General features: G+C 40.6%; 1 protein-coding gene and 1 long non-coding RNA gene across 9 annotated transcripts in view, besides 1 other annotated feature; one reads left to right on the forward strand and one right to left on the reverse strand.

Annotated features, from left to right (window-relative positions):
* The window catches only part of DHX57 (DExH-box helicase 57), a 78,206-nt gene that overhangs the window by 30,833 nt on the left and 21,903 nt on the right, over positions 1-25,470 (reverse strand). For all 8 annotated transcript variants that reach the window (NM_001329963.1, NM_198963.3, XM_011533154.3 and 5 more), the window contains 4 exons: positions 19,708-19,841; positions 18,458-18,512; positions 14,444-14,649; positions 9,270-9,386 (listed from right to left, as the gene is read on the reverse strand). In NM_001329963.1, coding sequence (NP_001316892.1) covers positions 9,270-9,386; positions 14,444-14,649; positions 18,458-18,512; positions 19,708-19,841 — 512 coding nt within the window. The remainder of the gene's footprint in view (positions 1-9,269; positions 9,387-14,443; positions 14,650-18,457; positions 18,513-19,707; positions 19,842-25,470) is intronic.
* LOC105374470 (uncharacterized) lies at positions 7,809-25,404 on the forward strand. Its single transcript, XR_001739419.2, has 3 exons — positions 7,809-7,846; positions 14,307-14,382; positions 25,320-25,404. It is a non-coding gene; the product is annotated as an uncharacterized LOC105374470 (long non-coding RNA).
* Positions 21,569-21,658: an enhancer, noted in NCBI's record as "active region_15611". NCBI's record gives its function as "activates an Ori minimal core promoter by ATAC-STARR-seq in GM12878 lymphoblastoid cells {active_cell/tissue: GM12878}" and the evidence as "EXISTENCE:reporter gene assay evidence [ECO:0000049][PMID:35858748]".

Raw genomic sequence — 25,470 nt, forward strand, 5'->3', positions numbered from 1 at the left:
TTTTAACCAAAATATGCAATAATCTGAGAATTTCGCCTGTGGTCTCAGCTACTCGGCAGGCTGAGGTAGGAGGGTTGCTTGAGCCAGGGAGGCGGAGTTTGCGGTAAGCCAAGATTGTGCCACTGCACTCTAGCCTGGGCAACAGAGCAAGACCCTTTCTCAAAAAAAAAAAAAAAGAGAAATTTTCACTATCAGTTTTATTTTCTTTGTAAAGTCCCAGAGGATTTAAACAAATAAATAACTACATGTTTTATATATTCTCTGACTTAATAAGGACAAAATGGAGATTTATCTTTCTATAACCAGAAAAACTGAGGTGTGGAAAAGTATAATGTCTGTCGGTATAATGCCAAGAATTATTAGCTAAGCTCTTTTTTTATTTTAATTTTTATTTTTTGAGACAAGGCCTTGCTCTGTCACCCAGGCTGAAGTGCAGTTGCGCGATCACGGCTCACTGCAGCCTCAACCTCCCCAGGCTCAGGTGATTTTCCTACCTTAGCCTCCTGAGTAGTTGGGACTACAGGTACATGCCATCACGCCCGGCTAATTTTTTATATTTTTAGCAGAGATGGGGTTTCGCCATGTTGCCCAGGCTGGTCTCAAACTCCTGGACTCAAGTGATCCACCCGCCTCAGCCTACCAAAATGCTGGGATTACAGGCATGAGCCACTGTGCCTGGCCTAGCTAAGCTCTATAAATAAACTTTTTCAGTACACTGGCTATTTTTTTTTTTTTTTGGAGACAGTGTCTTGCTCTGTTGCCCAGGCTGAAGTGCAATGATGTGATCTCAGCTCACTGCAACCTCCACCTCCTGGGTTCAATTGATTCTCCCGCCTCATCCTCCTGAGTAGCTGGGATTACAGGCACACGCCAGCTAATTTTTGTAGTTTTAGTAGAGACAGGTTTCACCATGTTGGTCAGGCTGGTCTCGAACTCCTGACCTCGTGATCTGCCCGCCTTGGCCTCCAAAAGTGCTGGGATTACAGGCATGAGCCACTGCGCTTGGCCCCACTGGCAACTTTCTATTTTTTTATTTTTTTAGAGATGAGGTCTCACTATACTGCCAAGGATGGTCTTGAACTCTTGAGCCCAAGCAATCTTTCTGCTTTAGCCTCCCGAGTAGTTGGGACTACAGGCATGCACCACCACACCTGACCTTGACATTCTATTTCTATAGGAAGAGTTATTCTCCTAACCTTATAAGACAGGAAGACAATTTTATTAATAAATAAAATCCATAAACATTTTACTGGAAATGAGAAAAAGAAACTATAATTGACTGGCCAATCTGGTAATCTAAATTCAGATATATTTTAGAGACAGCCCATTAACTAATCATATCATGTTAACAGTTTATGGGCTTTTAAATTTTACATTAAATAAAATAAGCATGAAAACTGATTATAGTATATTTCTGCGTGAAGAGCAGTCACTCAGCAATAGTCACCTTCTTTTGTGCTTTATTCAGGGAGAAAAATGGTACTGTTTTCACCAGCCCCCCTTTAATCCCACAAATATTTATTGGGTGCCTATGTCAGCTCCATGTGAAGTGCAATGGGATATAAAACAAGCATCTGTCAGCAGAGAACTCATGACCTATTATTCAGTCATAGTTATCCTTCCCACTAAATAAATGAGGAATCTGAATTACCACAAAACTGGAACTCTGATGAAGGCTGAAAGAGATCTTATAGCATTTTAAAAAATACCTCACAGTAACAAAGAATGTTCACATATATTATCCCATTTAATCCTCATAGCCATCCATTGAGAAGGTTATTAGTGGCCAGGCATGGTGGCTCAGGCCTGTAATCCCAGCACTTTAGGAGGCTGAGGTGGGTGGATCACCTGAGGTCAAGAGTTCAAGACTAGCCTGACCAACATGGTGAAACCCCATCTCTACTAAAAATACAAAAATTAGCCTGGCATGGTGGTGCATGCCTGTAATCCCAGCTACTTGGGAGGCTGGAGGCACGAGAATCACTTGAACCCAGGAAGTGGAGGTTGCAGTGAGCCGAGACCATGCCATTGCACTTCACCCTGGGCCACAGAGTGAGACTCCGTCTCAATAAAAAAAAAAAAAAGAAGGCTACTAGTACCCCTACTAGTGACTCAGTAACTTCAGACTCAGGTCACAGAGTTAGTAAGCATGGAGCTTGGACACAAACCTAGGGTTTCTGGCATCAGATCCATGTTCTTTCCATTACATACCCCATGATCCTCTGCTAAAATGCCACAAAATTTTATTGAGGTCAGGTGTGGTGGTTCATGCCTGTAATTACAGCACTTTGAGAGGCTGAAGTGGGAAGACTGCTTGAGCCTAGGAGTTTGAAACCAGTCTGGGCAACACAAGGGAGACACCATCTCTACAAAAAATTAAAAATTTAGTAGGGCTCGAGAGGCTGAGGGAGGTTGTAGGATTGCTTAAGCCAGGAAGTTGGGGCTGCAGTGACCCGTGATCATGCCACTGCACTCTAGCCTGAGTGACAAAGTGAAACTCTGTCTCAAAAAGAAAAATTAAAAAAATTATTTATTAAAAGATAAGCAAAAAGAAAAATACAAAGGAAAAAAAAAGCCACAACATTAAACAACGATGAAACATACTATTATATATGGATTGAAAAAATTTTTGTCTATATTTTTATGTGCCTCATCTGTCTGGGATATCTTTAATGTTCACAGATATGTCACATATGTCACTGACTTCCTAGTCACTATATCAACTCTGCTTTAAATTTAGGTAATTTTCTTTCTTTATTTCTTTTTTTTTTTTTTTTGAGACGAAGTCTCGCTCTTGTCCCCCAGGCTGCCAGGCTGGAGTGCAATGGAGGGATTTTGGCTTGCTGCAACCTCTGCCTCCTGGGTTCAAGCGATTCTCCTGCCTCAGCCTCCCGACTAGCTGGGATTACAAAATTTAGGTAATTTTCTAACATTTCTTCTTCATTTCTGATTTTTTTGCTATGCTTGATTTTTTTCAGTAATAGTCTTCTCCTTTGGAATGAAATGACATAGGCTGGGCATGGTGGCTCACGCCTGTAATCCCAGCACTTTGGGAGGCCAAAGCGGGCGGATCACCTGAGGTCAGGAGTTCCAGACCAGCCTGGTCAACATAGTGAAACCCTGTCTCTACTAAAAAAACAAAAAAATTAGCCGGGCATGGTGGCGTGCACCTGTAATCCCAGCTACTCGGGAGGCTGAGGCAGGAGAATCACTTGAACCCGGGAGGCGGAGGTTGCAGTGAGCTGAGATCACACCATCGCACTCCAGAGTGAGACTTCATCTCAAAAAAAAAAAAAAAATTACAAAAATTAGCTGGGGGACATGGTGGTGCACACCTGTAGTCCCAGTTACTCAGGAGGCTGAGATAGGAGAATTGCTTCAACCTGGGAGGCAGAGGTTGCAGTGAGCTGAGATCCCACCACTGCACTCCAGCCTGGGCGACAGAGCAAGACTGTCACACACACACGAAAAAGAAACAAGATATACAGTCCAGTGAAGTGATACTGTATTAGCCAACACTCACTACTTGCCAAGTAAAAATAAGGCATTTAAATAATTTTATATGGCTCACAAGTCTCTTTAGACAACCACACAGCGGGCCGGGTGCAGTGGCTCACGCCTGTAGTCCCAGCACTATGGGAGGCCAACACGGGCAGATCATCTGAGTCAGGAATTCAATACCAGCTTGGCCAACACTGTGAAACCCCGTCTCTACTAAAAATACAAAAATTAGCTGGGTGTGGTGGCACATGCCTGTAGTCCCAGCTACACGGGAGGCTGAGGCAGGACAATTGCTTGAACCCAGGAGGCGGAAGTTGCAGAGCCGAGATTGCGCCACTGCACCTCCATTGCCTGGGTGACAGAGACTCTGTCTCAAAAAAAAGAAAAGAAAACCACATAATGATTAAAGTGTAAGCAGAAGAGAGCAGCCATTCTCATTTCTCTTAAGTTCTTTATGATCACATAGATTAATATATATATATATATATATTTTTTTTTTTAGAGACAGAGTCTTGCTCTGTTACCCAGGTTGGAGTGAAGTGGCGCAATCTTGGTTCACTGCAATCTCCACATCCTGGGTTCAAGCAACTCTCCTGCCTCAGCCTCCCAAGTAGCTGGGATTACAGGTGCCCATCACCATGTCTGGCTAATTTTTAGTAGAGATGGGGTTTTGCCATGTTGGCTAGGCTGGTCTCGAACTCCTGACTTTAGGTGATCCACCCACCTCGGCCTCCCAAAGTGCTGGCATTTCAGGCATGAGCTACCATGCCCAACCAACATAAAGTAATTTTTTGATCTATTATTCCATTTAATCATTACATTCATTTATTCATGCAACAAATATTTACTCGGTACCTAAATGCTGTAGGCACTGTTCTAGGGTCTGAGAAATACAGTGGTGAACAAGAAATGTCTATTCTTTTTTTTTTTTTTTTTTTTTCTGAGACGGAGTTTTGCTGTTGTTGCTTGGTGGTGAGCCACTGTGCCTGGCCGAAATCTCTACTCTTAAGGAGCTTATATCCTACTGAAGTATGCAAAACTCCAATTTCAGACAGTGTTAAGTGCTACAATGAAAATGAATTCTTTTATTTTTTTTTGAGGTGGAGTCTTGCTCTTGTAGCCCAGGCTGGAGTGCGGTGGCGCGATCTTGGCTCACTGCAACCTCCGCCTCCTGGGTTCAAGAGATTCTCCTGCCTCAGCCTCCTGTGTAGCTGGGATTACAGGTACCCGCCACCATGCCCAGCTAATTTTTGTATTTTTAGTAGAGATGGTGTTTCTCCATGTTGGCCAGGCTGGTCTCGAACTCCTGACCTCAGGTGATCCGCCTGCCTCGGCCTCCCAAAGTGCTGGGACTACAGGTGTGAGCCACAGCACCCGGCCTATTTTTAGATATTAGGATAGAGTAAGGGGATTGGGGCAAGACAACAGATAGGGTGGTCTGTAGAGGTAAATTGAGGAGAAACCTGAAGAAAATAAAGGATTTAGTTAAGAGAAGATTTGGAGTATTCATTCTAGGGATAAGGGACTGCAAGTGAGGTTAAGAAGGCTACCGGGATGGGAAGACAGTGAGTAAAGTAGTGATTGCTCTGTGTTTAGTACAGTAGTAGTAATAGTGTTTAACTATAATAAGTGTTCAGTTGATCCTTGAACAACATAGGTTTGCACTGCATGGGTCTACTCATTGGCAATTTTCTTTCAATGAATATATTGGAAAATTTTTGGAGATTTGTGACAATTTGAAAAAAACTAGCACACAAACTGCATAGCCTAGAAATATGAAAAAAAATTAAGAAAGAGATATGTCATGAATGCATAAGACATATATAGATACTAGCCTATTTTATTATTTATATCATAAAATACACACAAACCTATTATAAAAGGTTAAAATAATCAAAACTCACACACACATACTTATGGACCATACCTGGCGCCATTTGCATCTAGAGAAATGTGAACAAATGTAAAAATGCAGTATTAAATCAGGCCGGGCATGGTGGCTCATGCCTGTAATCCCAGCACTTTGGGAGGCTGAGGTGGGTAGATCACCTGAGGTTGGGAGTTCGAGACCAGCCTGACCAACACGGTGAAACTCCATCTCTACTAAAAAAATACAAAATTAGCCGGGTGTGGTGGCGCATGCCTGTAATCCCAGCTACTTGGGAGGCTGAGGCAGGAGAATTGCTTGAACCTGGGAAGCGGAGGTTGCGGTGAGCCGAGATCACACCATTGCACTCCAGCCTGGTCAACAAGAGCAAAACTCCATCTCAAAAAAAAAAAAAAAAAAAAGTGGTATTAAATCAAAACTGCATACAATGAACTATATAATACAGTATACTACTGTAATAACTTTATTTAAAAAATGATTTTGTAGCCACCTCCTGTTGCTACTGCAGTGAGCTCAAGTGTTGTGAGAATCGACTTAAAAAAATGTATTGTGACACTAATCATCTCCAAGTAAGTCATTTGTTTTGTCAGAATATTGTATATTATAGTAAAAAGTGATCTCTGTGGTTCTTGTGCATTTTTCATTGTGTTTAGTGGAATACAGTAAACCTTGAATAACATCATGGCTATACGAAGTGCCACTAGTGATGCTGTAAGTACTCCCGAGAAGCAGAGAAAAGTCATGACATCACAAGCAAAAGGTGAATTGCTCAATATGTTCCGCAGATGGAGGTCTATAACCGTGGTTGCCTGCCATTTCCAGATAAATGAATCCAGAGTAAGGGCCATTGTGAAAGAAGAAAAAGAGATTTGTGAAGCTGTCACTGCAGCTATGCCAGCAGGTGTGAAAATCTTACGCTTTTTGAGAAATACCTTTTTATCTCATTGAAAATGCAGTTTTTATGTGGGAGCAAGATTGCTATAAGGCATACCTGTATGAGTCAAGAAAAAGCAAAGCAACTTAAAGCAAACGGAAGGGAAGGATCTAAAGCTGGGAAATTTAATGCCAGCAAAGGATAGTTTGACAATTTTAGAAAGAGGTTTGGCTTTTAAAATATCAAGATAACAGAAGCAGCAGCTTCTGCTGACCAAGAGGCAGCAGATAATGAGTTCCCAGATGCCATTAAGAAAATCATTGAGGAGAAATGTATCTGCCTGAAAAGGTTCCAAATAACTGATGAAAGCGCCCTCTTCTGGAAAAAAAATGCCACAAAGGACATTTATTAGTAAGGAAGAGAAGTGAGTACCAGGATTTAAGGCAGGAAGGGATAGGCTAAATCTACTCTTTTGTGCAAATGTAGTTGGGTTCATGATCAGCACTGCCCTGTCTATAAAGTTAACCCCTGGCCTTGAACAGAAAGAAGAAACACCAGCTGCCAGTGTTCTGGTTGTACAAGAAAGGCTGGCCAATGGGAACCCCTTTTCTGGACTGGTTCCATCAATGCTTTGTCCCTGGAATCAGGAAGCACCTTGCCAAAGTTCTTTTCATACTGGACAGTGCCACTGGCCACCCAGAACCCCATGAGTTCAACACCAAAGACACTGAAGTGATCTACTTTTCCCTAAATATGTCTCTAATTTAGCCTCTATATGCGGAGTTCATGAGGACCTTTAAGGCTCATTATACAGGTACTCTATGGAAAGGACTGTCAATGCTACGAAAGAGAATTCTGATAGAGAGAACATCATGAAAGTCTGGAAGGATTACTTCATTGAAGATGCCACGGTTGTTATTGAAAAAGTGCGAAAGCCATCAAGCCTAAAACGATAAACTGATGCTGGACAAAGCTGTGTCCAGATGTGCATGACCTCACAGGATTTATAAGACAAGTGAGAAAATCATAAAAGAGACTATGGATATGGAATAAAGGTGGGGAGATGGTGGCAGTGGTGAATGATTTCAAGATATGGATCTTGGAGAAATTCAAGAGCTAGCCAACACCACACCAGGGGAATTAACAGAAGATGACTTGATGGAGATGAGTGCTTCTGAACCAGTGCCAGACAATGAGGAAGAAGATGTAAAAGAAGCAGCAGTGCCAGCAAACACATTGACATTAGACAGTCTGGCAGAAAGACTCAAGACTGCTTTTAACTTCTATTATGACGTGGACCATTCTATGATAGAGCACTGAAACCAAAGCAAACAGGGGAAGGATTGGTACTATATAGAAACATTTTTAGAGAAATGAAAGAGCAAAGTCAGACAGAAATTACAATATGTTTCCTTAATGTTGCAATGAGCGTGCCTGCCTCTTCTGCCTCCCCTTCCACTTCTTCCACCTCTGCCACCCGAGACAGCAAGAGGAATCCCTCCTCTTCCTCCTCCTCAGCCTACTGAATGTGAAGGCAACAAAGATGAAGACCTTTATGATAATCTGCTTCCACTTAATGAATAGTAAATATATTTTCTCTTCCTTATGACTTTTTAAATAACATTTTCTTTTCTTTAGTTTACTTTACTGTAAGAATACAGTATGTACACCAGGTGCAGTGGCTCACGCCTGTAATCCCAGCACTTTGGGAGGCCAAGGTGGGTGGATCATGTGAGGTCAGGAGTTCAAGACCAGACTGGCCAACATGGCAAAACCCTGTCTCTACTAAAAATACAAAAATTAGCCAGGCGTGGAGGTGCACACCTGTAGTCCCAGCTACTTGGGAAGCTGAGGCCAGAGGACTGCTTGAACCCAGGAGGAAGAGGTTACAGTGAGCTGACATCATGCCACTGCACACTCCAGCCTGGGCAAGAGAGTGAGACCCTGTCTCAAAAAAAAAAAAAAAAAAAAAAGAAACAAAAGAGAATACAGTATGTAATACATATGACATACAAAATGTGGTGTGTGGTTTTTTTCTGTTTTTTTGAGACAGGGTCTTGCTCTGTTGCCTAAGCTGGAGTGCAGTGGTGCGATCATGGCTCATGGCAGCTTCCACCTCTCAGGCTAAGGCAATCCTCCCACTCCAACCCCTTGCTGGGACTACAGGCATGTGCCACCACGCCTGACTAATTTTTGCACTTTTTTGTAGAGATGGGGTTTCACTATGTTTTCCAGGCTGATCTCAAACTCCTGGACTCAAATGATTCACCTTCCTTGGCCTCTCAAAGTGCTGGGATTACAAGTGTGAGCCATTGCACCTGGCATGTATTATTATAATTATAATGTCATCAGTATTAGGGGTAGTATCTACTGAGCCTTAACTATACTGTGCTAAGTGTCTTACATATGGTTTCTTTTAATCCCCAAAATAGTTTTACATAACAGGATTTATTACTGTCTTCATTTTACAACAAGGAAATTGAAGCATAGAAAAGATAGGACTAGGCCGGGCACGGTGGCTCACGCCAATAATCCCAGCACTTTGGGAGGCCGAGGCAGGCGGATCACCTGAGATCAGGAGTTCGAGACCAGCCTGGCCAACAGGGAGAAAACCTGTCTCTACTAAAAAATACAAAATTAGCCAGGTGTGGTGGCACATGCTTGTAATCCCAGCTACTCAGGAGGCTGAGGCAGGAGAATCGCTTGAACCCGGGAGGCGGAGATTGCAGTAAGCTAAGGTCACGCCATTGCACTCCAGCCTGGGCAACAAGAGCAAAACCCCGTCTCAAAAAAAAAAAAAGATAAAGACTTTATTCAAGGTTTCAAGATTCCTGAATAGCAGAGCTGGGAAGTTTATCAGACTGCAAAGCCTGTATTCTTAACCCCACTGCCTTGTAGCCTGTGTGCAGAGTCTGCATGTAATTCAAGCACTCATGAATAGACTCCCATTTAGCCAAGGACTAAGTGTTTCAATTGTCATTCAAGCCTTAATAAAGAAGCAGTTACCTGGAGGGTAGGAGTGCTTTCCATCCACAATCCACTCTAATAAGGCCTCTATTAATTCAAGATTCACCTTTTCAAAATCCATGATGGACATTGTTTTGATGACTGACTTGCTAACCCCTGAAAGAAAGAAAGGTAAAAATGAGAAGGATATTTATACCTTGTTGATGTATTTTATTGTATATTTATACCATATACAATATGCCTGTGAATTAGGTGAGTGTTGGTTTAATAGCACAGATATTAACATTTAATGTACTGAAATGAACTTTTTTCTTTTCTTTATTTAGAGACAGGGTCTTGCTCTGTCACCCAGGCTGGAATGCAGTGGTGTGATCACAGCTCACTGCAGCCTCGACCTCCCAGGCTCAAGTGATCCTCCGATCTCAGCCTCCTGAGAGGCTGGGACTGCAGGCATGCACCACCATACCTGGTTAATTTAATTTTATTTTTTGTAGACATGGGGTCTTGCTGTGTTGCCCAGGCTGGTCTCGAACTCCCAGGCTAAGGCAGTCCTCCTGCCTCAGCCTCCCAAAGTGCTGGGATTACAGCCACCACAACCAGCCCACTTTTTTCTTTTAGTTTCCCAGAAAATCCAGCCTCATCAGAAGTAATTTTTGCTTGAACAATGACCCAAAAAGCAGGCTCCTGCCCCTGTTGGAAAGACCCAGATGGGCCACTTTTTACTCTCCTCATTCCTTCCCCTCTTTTACCCTTCAAATATTTATTGAAAGCTTAAGTTCTGGAAACAAAATTCAACGTCAAATACATTTTAGAAACTTCTTCTAGATTCAATCGAATCATGAATGAGATATGCTGGAAGTCCAGGTAACACTAACCTATGGCAATCAATGGACAGAGACCCCAGCTTTCACCAGCATTTTTATAACAGTGACTCGCTGAACCTTTAGGTTCCTTTGAGAAAATGATAAGTGGTTGATCTTCCCTGAAAAATAAATGTGATTGTAATATCTTCATTAACACCCACGGAGTCTACTCATAGACCCTCACAATCTCCCCACTCACAATCTCCTAATCTATCTGCGATCTGGTAAACGATGTAGTTCTATAGGATGTACTACAAGCCTCGGCTCTTTTATTTTTTTATTTTATTTTATTTTTGAGACAGAGTCTTGCTCTGTCACCCAGGCTGGAGTGCAGTGGTGTGATCTCGGCTCACTGCAACCTCCACCTCCCGGATTCAAGCGATTCTCCTGCCTCAGCCTCCTGAGTAGCTGGGATTACAGGCACGTAGTACCACGGCCAGCTAATTTTTGTATTTTTAGTAGAGATGGGGTTTCACCATGTTGGTCAGGCTGGTCTCGAACTCCTAACCTCGTGATCCACCCGCCTCGGCCTCCCAAACTGCTGAGATTATAGTCGTGAGCCACCGCGCCCGGCCACCTCAGCTCTTTTAAAAGCAATAGTATATTGTTGGGGTGACTAACTCTTCAAAGACTGCTGCCCATTCTTCTCAGGCTCTCCTAATGACCTATCGCCCTAACTACAGTCTAACTGGAACAAAATAACTATAGTTGGTACCAAGGAAGGGAAACTTCCTATATGATGCTGAGAAGTTTGAAGAGGGACAAAAGCAGTTTCGGCTGGGCGCGGTGGCTCATGCCTGTAATCCCAGCACTTTGGGAGGCCGAGATGGGTGGATCACCTGAGGTCAAGAGTTTGAGACCAGCCTGACCAATATGGGAAATCCCCATCTCTACTAAAAATACAAAAAAAAAAAAAATTAGCCAGGCATGGTGGTGGGTGCCTGTAATCCCAGCTACTTGGGAGGCTGAGGCAGGAGATTCGCTTGAACCCAGGAGGCGGAGGTTGTGGTAAGCTGAGATCGCGCTACTGCACTCCTGCTGGGCGACAGAGCAAGACTCCGTCTCAAAAAAAAAAAAAAGGAGTTTTGAAACAATGTTGTTCTGGTAGAATGAATACCATGTTGGTCAAAAATGAAAAAAAGGAAGCAACAGGCTGCACAAACAAGGGTGTGGTTGGGTGAGAAAGGTGGAGCAGAATCACTTTTCTTTGCCAAGATTCCAAAAAGCCAGACTTTTCAAAAAGAAGAAAGGATCAGCTAATTGAAAAAAGAAAACTGAACATAGTTTTGTTTTTTAAAATTATTATTATTGAGACAGGGTCTCACTCTTCTCCTCAGGCTGGAGTGCAGTGGCGTGATCATGGCTTACTGCAGCCTTGGCCCTTGGGGTTCAAATGATCTCTCACCTCAGCCTCCTGAGTAGCAGGGACTATAGGTGCACACCACCACACCAGCTAATTTAAAAATTTTTTTAAGAGACAAGGCAGCACCATGTTGCCCAGGCTGGTCTTGAACTCCTGGGCTCAAGCAATCCTCTGGCCTCAGCCGCTCAAAGTGCTGGGATTATAGGCATGAGCCACTGTGCCCAGCCAAATCAATAATATATTTTAAATGACTGATCATTAATTTTTTCAAAGAAAAACTAGAAAATGCCTTAAAAATTGAGCTAGGAAACATTATTTAATTTTCTGAAAGGCGAAAGAGAACATTGAGATCAACAAATTCAAGGCATTTTTTTTTTTTTTGAGATGGAGTCTTGCTCTGTTGCCCAGGCTGGAGTGCAGTGGTGCAATCTGGGCTCACTGTAGCCTCCGCCTCCTGGGTTCAAGCGATTCTCATTCCTCAACCTCCCAAATAGTTGGGACTACAGGTGTGTGCCACCACACCTGGCTAATTTTTGTAAGGACTTTTGTTTTTTTTAAAACAAACAAACAAACAAAAAACAGAACCAGAAGCTCAGAAAAGCTAAGCAATCAGCCCAGTACCATACAGAAGCTGGTGGCAGAGTCATGTTTCCTGACCTCAACTCCTCCATTCTCCTTCCTTAAAAAGGGGGTCCCAAAGGTACTTTCTGAACTTTAGTAACCTTTGTGCTTAAAATTAGAAAGTCATGGATTAGATTCAGTGATAATTTTAAAAGAAAACTCCAAAATTTTGAAAGAAGCCAAAGGGATTTTCTTTTTTTTGAGACAAGGTCTTGCTCTGTTGGGGCTGGAGTGCACTAGTGCGATCATAGCTCACTGCAACCTTGAATCCCTTTGCTCAAGCAATCCTCCCGCCTCAGCCTCCTGAGTAGCTGGGACTACAGGTGCCAACTACCATGCCCGGCTAATTTTAAAAAACATTTGTAGTAGAGACAAGGTCTCAATGTATTGCCCAGGCTGGTCTTGAACTCCTGGGCTCATGTGATCCTCCTGCCTCAGCCTCCCAAAGTGTTGGGATTATAGGCGTGAGCCACCATGCCCAACCTCAAAGGAATTTTCTTGTTCCATAATTTAATGGAATAAGGGAATCTGAATTATCAGTTGGTATGACGTACAAAAAGCACACAAATTTTTTAGTTAGACATATTTTAATTAGAATCATGGATCTGCACTTACTAGCTGGGCACTATCCTTGTGGGTTTGTATTATACTCATCTAAATGATTCCACTTTATAGATAAGGAAACTGAGGCACAGAGATGATAAAGAACTTGCTCAAGATCATTAGCTGGTTTTATGAGAGCCTTGGGAGTTGAACCCAGATCTATAAAACACAAGTCCATTCTCTTAGCTTTACATCTCTCAATATTGCGAAGATGAAATAAAATGTTAGGGAGCTATGCTTATCTTCCTAAACAACAGAATAATGGCTAATATCTTAATTCCTTGGTGATTACCATTCCACATCCAGGATTGGGAACTGTCTTTGGTAGATGCAGAAAAAGGAAAATTCATTTGCCTTGTATCCTACAGAAGCAGTAACGGGTTGGAAGCTCTTACTCATGAACAATAAACACCCTTTTTTGGGAAGAACTAAGAACAGGGTGACAGTCTACGGAAAAAGGAGCAAGAAGGACAGCTGAGACCTGCTTGTAGTCTAGGCTTCAAGGAAGAAAGCAAAAGTAGTGATCCTGGGGTTTCTATGGGCTCAGTTTAGCTTATATGGATAGAAGACCACATAGGAACAAAGAGTAGCCAGCTAGAGTCTGGCATGGGAGGAGGAAGTACCTAATAACATACATAAAAAGCTCAGCACAGGGTAGGCCTCAAAAGATGTTATTTTAAAAGCCCACGAATAATGCTAAAACTATTGGGATATTAAATGGTTTTAAAATCATGTCAAATATTGCTTCACAAATGACTTATTAACTACAAAAGAAATAGCAATTACCAAGGGAGAAACCTAGCAAACATTACCTTTACCAAGTGAACAAGTTAACATTGCCAATAATGGGACAAGCCAACACCACGGGGCCCATGTGCCTTTTGATATGATGCATTGAGAAATCAAGATCGTTTTTGTGATGCTCCAGCCAAAAATGTATAACCTAAATTTAATCATGGAGAAATACTAAACCCAAATGGATGGACATTCTACAAAATAATCTTCAAAAATGTCAAGGTCACTAAAAGACAAAGGATGAGGAGCTGTTCTAGATCAAAGGAGACTAAGAATACATGACTGAATGTAATATATGATCCATGATAGGATCCTGAATCAGGAAAATACAGCAAAAATAAACATTACTGAGATAATTGTTCAAGCCTGAGTATGGACTGTGAATTATATAATTGTATCAGTGTTAAATGTCCTCATTTTGATCACTGTACTGTGGTTACGTAAGAGAATGTCCTTGTTCTTAGGAAAGACACACTAAAGTATTAAGGGTAAAGGAGCATCATATCTGTAACTTACTCTCAGGAGATTCAGAAAAAAAAAATACATGAACCCAGAGCAAATGATAAAGCAAAAAATGAAGTAAACATTAACAACTGGTGAATTGGGGTAAAGGATATATGAGAGTTCATCGTTTAGCCTTGCGAACTTTTCCATAAATTTGAAATCACATCAAAATAAAAAGCTACAAAATGCACAAGAATATAACTTATATTTTACTACCTCACAATTTTTCTCTAATGAGCACATATTTCTTTTATAATTAGAAAAAAAACCCATTGGCAAATATAGTAACAATTGTATTCTAAATATGTATCTGAACTATTTTTCTAGGTTTAAGGTTGCTCTGATGAATTAAAGGCAATGTAACTATGAAACAAGAATCATATTTTTCTTCTTCCGAATCTTGGTAAGAAAGAATACTAGAAATCTTTGGCATAATTATAATATTCCCCCAAGAGGCATGTTACCTTTATAGCGGGCCAGGAGCTGCTTAAAATCTAACTGTTGATCTGGCACTGCATCTTTGACAGAATCCTGATCCTGGAGGTGAAGGGAGAGCCTTAGGTCTTCTTCCACTTCTTCAAATGCAGTTCTGTTCCGCCTTGCTTTAAGCTTTTCCTTTGAAATCTGTTTCATGGACCGCATATATGGGCTCCCATCCTGTAATACATACCTGAGAAAGACAAAGGAATGTGGTTGTGTGTATGTGGTCCTGTTGGTGAGGAGGGAAAGAATTCACCTGTTTCACGTGCTCGTTCAGCAAAATGTCACTGTCTGCCCAATTCACATGCCATCCTTCCACCAGTCCAGGATTCTGGCTGTACCCTATTTCTGGTTGGGAACACACTGCAATGCTTTTAGGTCTGTCTCGGAGACCAGCTAAGAATTTGGAGAAAAGCTCTATCCAGGAATAATGGCATGGACATTCAGAAAACACATTTGAGTTATAGCCTTAGTAACACCCCTCTTCATTTTTGATTTTTCTTCAGCAATCTTATTGATCCTCTTGTTTCTATGATAATTCCCAGGCAGCTGATTTCCTTTTGTTGCAATCAAATTTGGACCCAAGTTTCTAGCTGTTGGCTGAACATCAACCTAAGACTATTCTTAAAACATTTCAAAACTCTTACAACTGGATAGTTTAATATTTGTTAGTGACAATCCTATTAGACATCATGGCAAAGCAGAAAAATGAATAGATTTGGAAACAAAAGCTCTGGATTTGAGTTCTGTCTGCCACTAAACCAATCTGCCATGAGACTTCTAACAAGTCAATTTCAAAAGGCTTTACTTTCTCATGTTTTGGGAAATTGGCATAGGTAAGTGGCTCGATTTTTTTTCCCTGGAGCCTTAAATGTTGCTCAAAGCCCCAAGGAAAGGTAAGGGAATGGGAGCAAAGTAAGTAACTGGGGGCTATTCTTTCAGCCCAATCATTCTTGTTTTATGTTTCATTTCTCTATGATTTCCTATAAGATTTCATTTGCATAAAGTGTATTGTAGCTTTTTAAAAAAAAGATTTAAAAACCTATGATTCTATAATCCTGACTTCCTCCAACCCCTTCTCTCCATTAAATGCCAACACTCTTTTCACATTCACCGTTTGTTTGTTTATTGAATATTTACTGAATGCCTATTTTGGACAAGGGACTATGGTGACGGTGGTGGTATGGTATAGAAAAATAAGTATACTTTCAAGGAGCTTACAAACTAGTGAGAACAGAACAAAACAACACACTATACTGTAAGACAGAAATAAATGTTATTAGAGGCACAAGAAAAGTATTCTGTGACTTCTAATAAAGAAATGATTAGGCCGGGCGCGGTGGCTCACGCCTGTAATCCCAGCACTTTGGGAGGCCGAGGCGGGCGGATCACGAGGTCAGGAGATCGAGACCATCCCGGCTAAAACGGTGAAACCCCGTCTCTACTAAAAATACAAAAAATTAGCCGGGCGTAGTGGCGGGCGCCTGTAGTCCCAGCTACTTGGGAGGCTGAGGCAGGAGAATGGCGTGAACCCGGGAGGCGGAGCTTGCAGTGAGCCGAGATCGCGCCACTGCACTCCAGCCTGGGCGACAGAGCGAGACTCCGTCTCAAAAAAAAAAAAAAAAAAAAAAAAAAAAAAAAAAAAAAAAAAAAAAAAAAAGAAATGATTAATTTTTAATAGCAGAAAATAGGAAATTTCATGGAGGTAGCATTCAAGTTGGGTGTTAAAGAATGACTAGAGAAGGAAGTGGGAAAAAGAAATACAGATAGTAATAGTATGGCATCTTTCAGAAATAACAAGTAGTCTGAGAGTGCTAAGGTTTTATAGGTAGGAAACTAAAGAAGGAAGGGAACTTAAATATTGGCTGGGGTCAGATGATATGGGCCTTTAGTGTCCACAAAGTGTGAGTGATAGGGAACCAATGAAAATTTCTAAGAATAGGAGGAATGTGAACAATTCTATGTTTAAAGATAATTCTGAGCCTGGGCAACATAGTGAGACCTTGTCTCTACTAAAAATAAAAAAATTAGCCAGGCATGGTGGCACACATCTGTAGTCCCAGCTACTTAGTATTCTGAGGTAACAGGATCACTTGGGCCTGGAAGAACAAGGCTGCAGTGATCTATGATAGCACCACTGCACTCAGCCTGGGTGACAGAGTGAGGCTGTCTTAAAAAAAAACAAAAAACAAACAAAAAAAAACCCATATATATATATATTCTGGAAGCAGTGAGTTTGAAAAAGTAAAGACAGGTAAACTAGTTGAAAGATGATTTCCTCAGAAACTCATATTCAATGGTAGTGGGATAGGGCCCAGAAAATAATAATTCTAATAAGCTCCCTAAGTATCCTTATTGCACATTAAAATTTGAGAGCCACTGGTTTTGGGTTTTTACCTTGAGAATATAGTACCATTAAATGAATATGGAATTAGGAGGGGGGCTTATTAGAGAAGGAAGGAACAGAGAAGGAGAAAAATTCTGACTTGTATTTAAGCTGTCAGATATTAGGGGTGTTTCATTCTAGAGCTCAGAGGTCAGGAATGAAGATACTAATCTGGGAGTTCTCGGCACAGGGATGACAGCTGAAATCACATGAGTCTAAGGTAGCCAAGGGAGAGTTAATAGTGAGAAGAAACAGTGCAAGGAAAATCTTGCGGAATCCTCAAGATCAGAGACTAAGAAGAGAAAGTAGGGCTTTCAAAGAAGAGAGATCTGTTTATATGCAATACACATTAACATTTTCTACCTAGCACTTACAATTGTTTATACAGATATCTTAACACTCAGGCTATACTGCAAACTCTATGCGAGTACAATGATGATGATGATAATAATAGCTAACTTTTTTTTTTTTTTTTTTGAGACAGAGTTTTACTCTGCCGCCCAGGCTGGAGTGCAATGGCGTGGTCTCAGCTCACTGCAACCTCTGCCTTCCAGGTTCAAGCGATTCTCCTGCCTCAGCCTCCAGATTGGCTGGCATTACAGGCATGCACCACCATGCCCAGCTAACTTTTGTATTCGTAGTAGAGACAGGGTTTCACCATATTGGCCAAGCTGGTCTTGAACTCCCGCCCTCAGGTGATCTGCTCGCCTCGGCCTCCCAAAGTGCTGGGATTACAGGTGTGAGCTACCACACCCAGCCAATAACTGCTAACATTTGAGAGCATGCATTATGTGCCAAGCACAGTTCTAAGCACTTTGCAAGTATTAATTCATTAATTTTTTAATGCTCTCAGCAGAATCAGCAAGTATAAATTCATTAAAACTAAAGTACAGAGAGATTAAGCTACTTGCCAAAGTTATAGTAAGTAGAGGGGGCCAGGCATGGTGGCTCATGACTGTAATCCCAGCACTTCGGGAGGCAAGGCAGGAGGACTGCTTGAGGTCAGGAGTTTGAGACCAGCCTGGGCAACATAATGAGACCCGTCTCTACAAAACCATTAAAAAAAATTAGGCATGGGGGTGTGTGTCTGTAGTTCAGCTACTCAGGAGGCTGAAGTAGAAGGACTGCTTGAGCCAGGTATTCGAGGCTGCAGTGAGCTATGATTACACCACTGCACACCAGCCTGGGCAACAGAGTAAGACTCTATCTCAAAAAAAAAAAAAAAGAAAGAAAGAAAAAGTAAGTAGAGGGACTTAAATATTGGCAGTCTGTTTGCTGAAAGAGAGGGGAGAACAAAATGTTCAAACAGAAAAAATAGAAGAAAATCACTTCTTGGCTTTTTGGCTGAAATCAAGTGCAGAAAAATTAGAAAAAAAGACTAACACATGTATTAGTATTCTGGCACATTGAGGGTCAAATATTATTCTGTTTTCAAAGTTTCACTGAATCTTTTTTTTTTTCTCAATAGATGGGGGTCCCAATATGTTGCCCAAGCTGGTCTTGAACTGGCCCCAAAAGATCCTCCCACCTTTGCCTTCCAAAGTGCTAGAATTACAGGGATGAACCACCATGCCAGGTCCTTTCACTGAATCTTAATTAATATCTTCCTTACCTTGTCACAGCAATTGCATCTTCCAAAAAAAATTGATCAACAGGAAATGTACGACCTAGAAAAACAAGGAGACAAAATAGAAAGCCTGAGAACACCCATTCAACCATCTTGAAATAGTTTATATATATAAAATTCTCTTAAAGCTTGTCATGCTAACGTCCTATTTGTTCTGTGGTCTTAAAAGTATCAAGAAGAAAAGTTCTGGTAACAGAAATTGGAAAGGGCAGATTTCAGTCAGTAAACAGAAGCAGTGTATAGGTAGAGAAATGATCCTTTGCTAAGACTTTTTTTCTTTTACCTGTTACACCTTTCATACCCTCCTCCCCTGCCCCCGCCACTTCCACCATAGAGGACCTTTAAACATTCAACAGTTGTATTCTAGATCAAACACAAAGTTTCTTCCTTAGATTTACTGCCAGCATTCCCTATAACTAAAACAAACTGCACTATTTTTTATCAGTCAGTGTTTCCAAAGTGTCTTTTTAGTATTCAATTGAAGAAGGATAAATCAAAGCTCAGGGTGATAAATTAATTCCACAATGAGACTGTGGAAGTGCCCAAAGAAAACACAGACTGTCCAATGTCACTTTCTGCCAGAGTGGACCAACACCCAGAAATTTAGCAGAATCCAGAAATGAACAAATATACTGTCACAGACACAAGTTCCCTCTTTATGACAGACTGCCACTATCAACTTTGATGTTAAACACAATGGAATGCTAGAAATAAGTAACTATGACTTTTTTTAAAAGTCCCCTAAAAAAATTAAAATCTCCCAGCAATGGCCGGGTGCAGTGGCTCACACCTGTAATCCCAGCACTTTGGGAGGCCGAGGCGGGCAGATCGTGAGGTCAGGAGATGGAGACCATCCTGGCTAACACAGTGAAACCCCGTCTCTACTAAAAATACAAAAAATTAGCTGGGTGAGGTGGCGGGCACCTGTAGTCCCAGCTACTCGGGAGGCTGAGGCAGGAGAATGGCATGAACCCGGGAGGCAGAGGTTGCAGTGAGCCGAGATCACGCCACTGCACTCCAGCCTGGGTGACAGAGCGAGACTCTGTCTCAAAAAAAAAAATCTCCCAGCAAGATATGTTACCTCCTTATCAGCTGCATTATATGGTTTATGATTTTATGTTATAAATGAATCGCTTCTCTAGAAAGAGGTATAAATATCTACTTATGTCTCAAACTTTAAAATAATTATATTTGCTTATTAGAATGATACATATTTAATGATGCATTTTATTCACCTGGTATAGTAATAACGGGGCAGGAATTAAAATAGTCTGAAAAAAGCTCAGCGTTTAGAGTTGCACTCATTAAAATAACTTGAAGACCTGGCCTCTGCGATACAATGTCCTTCAAAACTAGCAGCAAGAAGTCACTAGAGAAAATAAAAGAAACACCTGAGGATCAAACAAATTCAACACATGAAAATTAGTAACTTTTACTATATTTTGAGCAAGAAATGTGTAAGATCTCTGTGAAAAAAAAAAACCATTAACGTTCATAGAACAATATGTCCTGTTCTTGGATGTGAAGCCTTACTATTACAGGTTGAATATCTGTTATGTGAAATGCTTGGAACCAGAAGTGTTTCAGATTTCAAATTTTCTCAGATTTTAGAATAGTTGCATATACATAATGAGATATCTGGGGGATGGGGTCTAAATCTAAACAAGAAATCAATTTATGTTTCATATATACCTTATATACACAGCCTAAAGGTAACTGTATATAATATTTTGAATAATTTTGTCTGTGAAATAAAGTTGGTATACATTGAACCATCGGAGAGCAAAGGTGTCAGGTGTGGAATCTTACCACTTGTAGTGTCATGTCAGCACTCAAGAAGTTTCAGATTTTGGATTATTTCTGATTTTTGGATTAGGGATGCTCAACCTGTATAAAGATATAAATTCTTTCCCAAAGAAACCAAATCCAGGCAGTACCAATCAAAATCCCAACAGGATTGATAATCAAATTTTATAATTATTATTTTTTTACTCTTAGCTGGTATAGGGTACAAATTTGATAATTCTACTTCTTGATATCTATGTGTACCACAAAGAGGCACATACAAAGATTTTCATTATAGCATTGTTTGTAATAGTAAGACAGTAGAAACTACCCAAATGTCCATCAACTAACTGATAAATGGTTAATTATAACAATATCATCCAGTCTATGAAATAACATGAAGCAGATACAAGGAATAAGGTAGAGCTCTAGAAAATAACATGAAAACATCTCTAAGACATATTTTTAGTAGGAAAAATCCCAAGTTGCCTGGAATAGTATGCACGGCAGAATAACACCACCCTAATTGGTCTCTTGGCCCTTGCCCCCTTGCAATCTGTTCTCAATACAGCCAACCAATAATGCTCTTCGAATGTCAGTCTGATTGTGCTGACGGGGTGCGGTGGCTCACACTTGTAATCCTAGCAGTTTGGGAGGCTGAGGTGGGAGGAATGCTTGAGGCCAGGAGTTCAAGACCAACCTAGCCGATATAGCAAGACCCCATCTCTTAAAAAAAAAAAAGAAAAATCTGATTGTGCCACTCTTCTGCTTAAAATCCAATGACTTCTCATTAGAATTCTTACTAACAAGGCTCTATATGGCACGGTCTACACCCCATGCTCCCCATCTTTTTCTAGTACTCTCCCGTTCATTCACTCAGCACCGGCTCACTGTTCTCCTTGCCGTCTTTGAGGCATGCACCTTGGGTCTTTTGTACATGTTATTAATCTGCCTGGATTACTGGGCTTCTCCTAGCCCTTCACACAGGTAGCTCCCTCACTTCCTTCAAGTCCTTACTCCAAAGATAGTTTTTCAGTGAGGACTTCCTTGGCTACCTTATTTAAAATTTCAAATGCCCTCCTCCCTTGAATTTCTATTGTCTTTTTTCTGCTTTATTTTTTCTTCTTAGCACTTACCATATTCTGTATTTTACTTATTTATCTTGCTTATTGATGAGCTCTCCCACTAGAATAGAAGTTCTACAAGGACAAGAATTTTATTCACTACTGCAGGATCTACAACAATGCCTGGGACATAGTAAGTACTCAATGAATATTCATTGACTTACTAAATGAATATATCATCTGTGTAAGAAAAAAAGGTCAGAAAACAAAAGTAACTATTTCTAACAAAGTAAACATCTATATCCATGCATAGAAAGATGTACTACCAGTTTACTTCTAAGAAAGGAACTGAGAGTGGTTTGGGAGTAGTAAGAGGGACTTTCACTTTATCTATAACGTTTTTCTTACCTTTTTTTTTGAGACAAGGTTTCGCTCTGTCACCCAGGCTGGAGTGCAGTGGCGTTATCATGGCTCACTGCAGCCTTGAACTGGGTTCAAGTGATCCTCCTGCCTCAGCCTCCTGAGTAGCTGGGGCTAATTTTTTTGTTTTTGTTTTTATAGTAGAGATGGTGTCTCCCTATATTGCCCAGGCTGGTCTCAAACTCCTGGGCTCAAGTGATCCTCTTGTCTTGGCTTCCCAAAATGCTGGGATTACTGAACATATAATCAGTAATCCCAGAATGGAAGGTCTGTAGGTGTGAGCCACTGCACCTGGCCTGTTTGAGTTTTTAATGAAAACATTCTTATACTACTTAGCTCTTTTTAATGAGCTAATTTAATTACATTTATGACTATTTTTGTTTCTTTTTCAGGGAAATAGTCCAACAACAACAGGCAAATGGTTAAGTAATTTATGGTATATCCAGACTTCAGAATTTCCTTATGAAATTCTTAATTTTACAGATAATTCAGCTGGGTGTGGTGGCTTACACCTGTAATCCCAGCACTTTGGGAGGCCAAGGCGAGCATATCACTTGAGCTCAGGAGTTCAAGACAAGCCTGGCCAACATGGTGAAACTCCGACTCTATTAAAAAAATAGAAAAATTAGCCAGGCCTGGTGGCGTGCACCTGTAGTTGCGGCTACTTGGGAGGCCGAGGCAGGAGGATCGCTTGAACCTGGGAGGTGGAGGCTGCAGTGAGCTGAGACTGCACCACTGCACTCCAGCCTGGATGACAAAGACTTTGTTTCAAAAAAAAAAAAAGATAATTCATTAACTCATGCTATCATTCTGTTAAATCAAAAACAGCACAACAAAACTATATAATCCCAATAGTGTTTGTGGAAATACATCTCTCTTTCTACCATATCCCTCTTCTAACTCCCAATATACTCCCAGAAGAAAAGAGACTAAAATTATAACATGTAACTAGCAATTTTATAAGGGACAGAGATTCTTCTTTTACATTTTTTGGTATTTACTGTATGCCTTAGAATGATCATGTCATCTCTGTGATTAGAAAATTTATTAAAATTTCAAACTAACACAACTGTCACCTTTCTATATTCAACCTTTAATCTTGCCAATATTTTTACTGATTTTTGTTCCTAGATTTTATTAGTTTTTGCTTTTTTCAGTCAGAGTTAGCAAATATTCCCCTACTTTTCCTTGTAATTTGTATACCCTTTCTTGTAAACTGGTATTTGTAAATATTTGAAGCACCCTTCTCCACTGTGTAATTAATCTTTATTCAGATGTGAACATCTTTTGAATTTTTAACGTTCATATTCTACAGATCCTTAGGTTTTATAAAAATCTTTCTCCTATTTTAGCCAGGAACCAAATCCAGTGCTATGTTCTCATTTCTTCAAGTTTGTGGAAGTACAAATGTTATAGAATCCAAAGCTACTCTTCATATTCAAAATTATACTGGATATAGGTTTCCCTAAAAGTTTAAACTTATCTTTATAAATCAATCATTTAAATACCATTAATCTGAGAGAATGTTTTATTTGGCTTCCTCTTCCAAGTTGTTCAATGATTTTGTTAAAAAAATTTCTTCTTTCAGATGTTCATTTCCAACAGTGGCAAAATGACATTATTTACCATTAATTTTTTTTCCCATTGTTTTCTGGAGTTTCTACAAAAAGATTATTTGCCCCTTAGAGATTTCCAATGTTTTCTGTATAGTAATTTAATATTTATTATTGTCTTGTTCTAGGAATTATTTCTTTTTCTTTTGGTTCATTCTTTTTATCTAAAAGTCTTTCTTTAGTTTCTAATTACTTCATATTTCTTATTTACTAATAATAGTAATGTATTATTTCTTCTAATAGTTCTTCTGGTTATATGCCTTCTCTGTTCAATTCCTTTTTTTTTTTTCTTGCTCTGTCGCCCAGCCTGGAGTACAGTGGCGCAATCTCGGCTCACGGCAACCTCCGCCTCCCAGGTTCAAGCGATTCTCCTGCCTCAGCCTCCCGAGTAGCTGGGACTACAGGCGCCTGCCACCAATCCTTTTTTTTTTTTTTTTTTAATGTTTTGCTTTTAGCTATTTTCTGCTTTCCTATCAGTCCACCAAGTTTACTTAGACTTTTTTTCTTCTTCTCAAGATATTTATTGTGGTACAATACTTTGTGGGAAAACTTCATAATTTTCACAGGACTTTCTCTTTTTTCCCACTAGTTTTCTTTTACTGCTCTAGGGCATGATCCACATGACAAACTATGATTAATGCCATCCATCTTCCTGGCCCTCCTCAGTACTTAAAATATTCAGACTTTTAATTTTTTTTTTTTTTTTTTTTAGAGATGGAGTCTCATGATATTTCCCAGGCTGAAGTGGCTCTTCACAGGTGCAATCATAGCACACCACAGCCTTGCACTCCTGAACTTAAGCAATCCTCCTGCCTCAGCCTCCTCAGTAGCTGGAACTACAAGCATGCACCACTGTGTCTGGCAAGAATTTTTATTTTATGCCTCACCCTTTAATGACTTCTAATTTCATAAGATAAAATCCACATGCTTTATTATTCGTGGTGCTTAAGGCCCTGGAAGGTCTGGCTCCTGCTGCTTCTTCCCTGTGCTACTTTCCCCTTTGCTGCTACACAGCAGGTGCACTGGGCTTCCTTGTTTCTGGACTCACAAAGCCCCTTCCCACTGCAAAATCTTCAAACATACTTTCCTTACCCCCGTTTGTCACCTGGGATTCCTTCTCATATTTCAGTTTTCTTTTCTTTTCTTTTCTTTTCTTTTGAGACAGGGTCTTGCTTTCTTGACCAGGGTGGAGTGCAGTGGTGCTATCACAGCTCACTGCAGCCTCAACCTCCTGGGGGCTCAATTGATTCTCCTGCCTCAGCCTCCTGAGTAGCTGGGACCTTAGGTGTGAGGCATCACGCCTGGCTAATTTTTTTTTTTTTTTTTCTGTATCCCCAGTAGAATGACTACTGGCTATTTTTTGTTTTGTTTTGTTTTTTTTACTTTTCGTGGAAACATGGTCTCACTATGTTGCCCAGGTGGGGCTCCAACTCCTGAGCTCAAGCGATCCTCCCACCTTGGCCTCCCAAAGTGCAGGGATTATGGGTGTGAGCCATTGCGCCCGGCCATACTTCAGTTTTGAATTTAAATTGTCATCTTACAGAGATATGATCTTTGAGCATCTATGGGTCTCTCCCTCCAAACACAGCATGCCGTTTATTCCTTCATAGTGCTTATTCCAATTTACAATCATTTGCTTGTTTACTTGTTCATTATTTGTTTTTTCTACTGGACTGTAAGAGATGAGGGGGAGCCATACATGCTTGTTCATCACTGTATCCCCAGCAACTAATATATCACTTGGCATTTAATGCAGGCTCAATAAATACATGAATCAATGTCAGGACTGAATGGCCAAATAAACAAGGAAGAAGATACATTCAGCCACAGCATGCATGACATCTGTTATTTCTACTAAGTACGGTATTCAACTTAGCATAATGCCCAGGATGGTGTGAAGTATACCTTCTAACCTAACAGGATGACTCCATCTAATAAGTGATGAGCATGTGCTGTCCTTTTTAGTGTTACAGACCCTGGAGATCAAGAAAGCAGTTGCTCTTCTCTAACATAGGCCTTCCTTGTGGCAAATTACCATTACTAGCTGCATGAAACTGAATTGGAACTAGAAAACAATTTTTTCTGCCATGCCTTCAATTCAGGTGAGTGTGTGTTC

This window comes from Homo sapiens, chromosome 2, assembly GCF_000001405.40.
Source record: "Homo sapiens chromosome 2, GRCh38.p14 Primary Assembly".
In the NCBI taxonomy this organism is placed as follows: domain Eukaryota; kingdom Metazoa; phylum Chordata; class Mammalia; order Primates; family Hominidae; genus Homo; species Homo sapiens.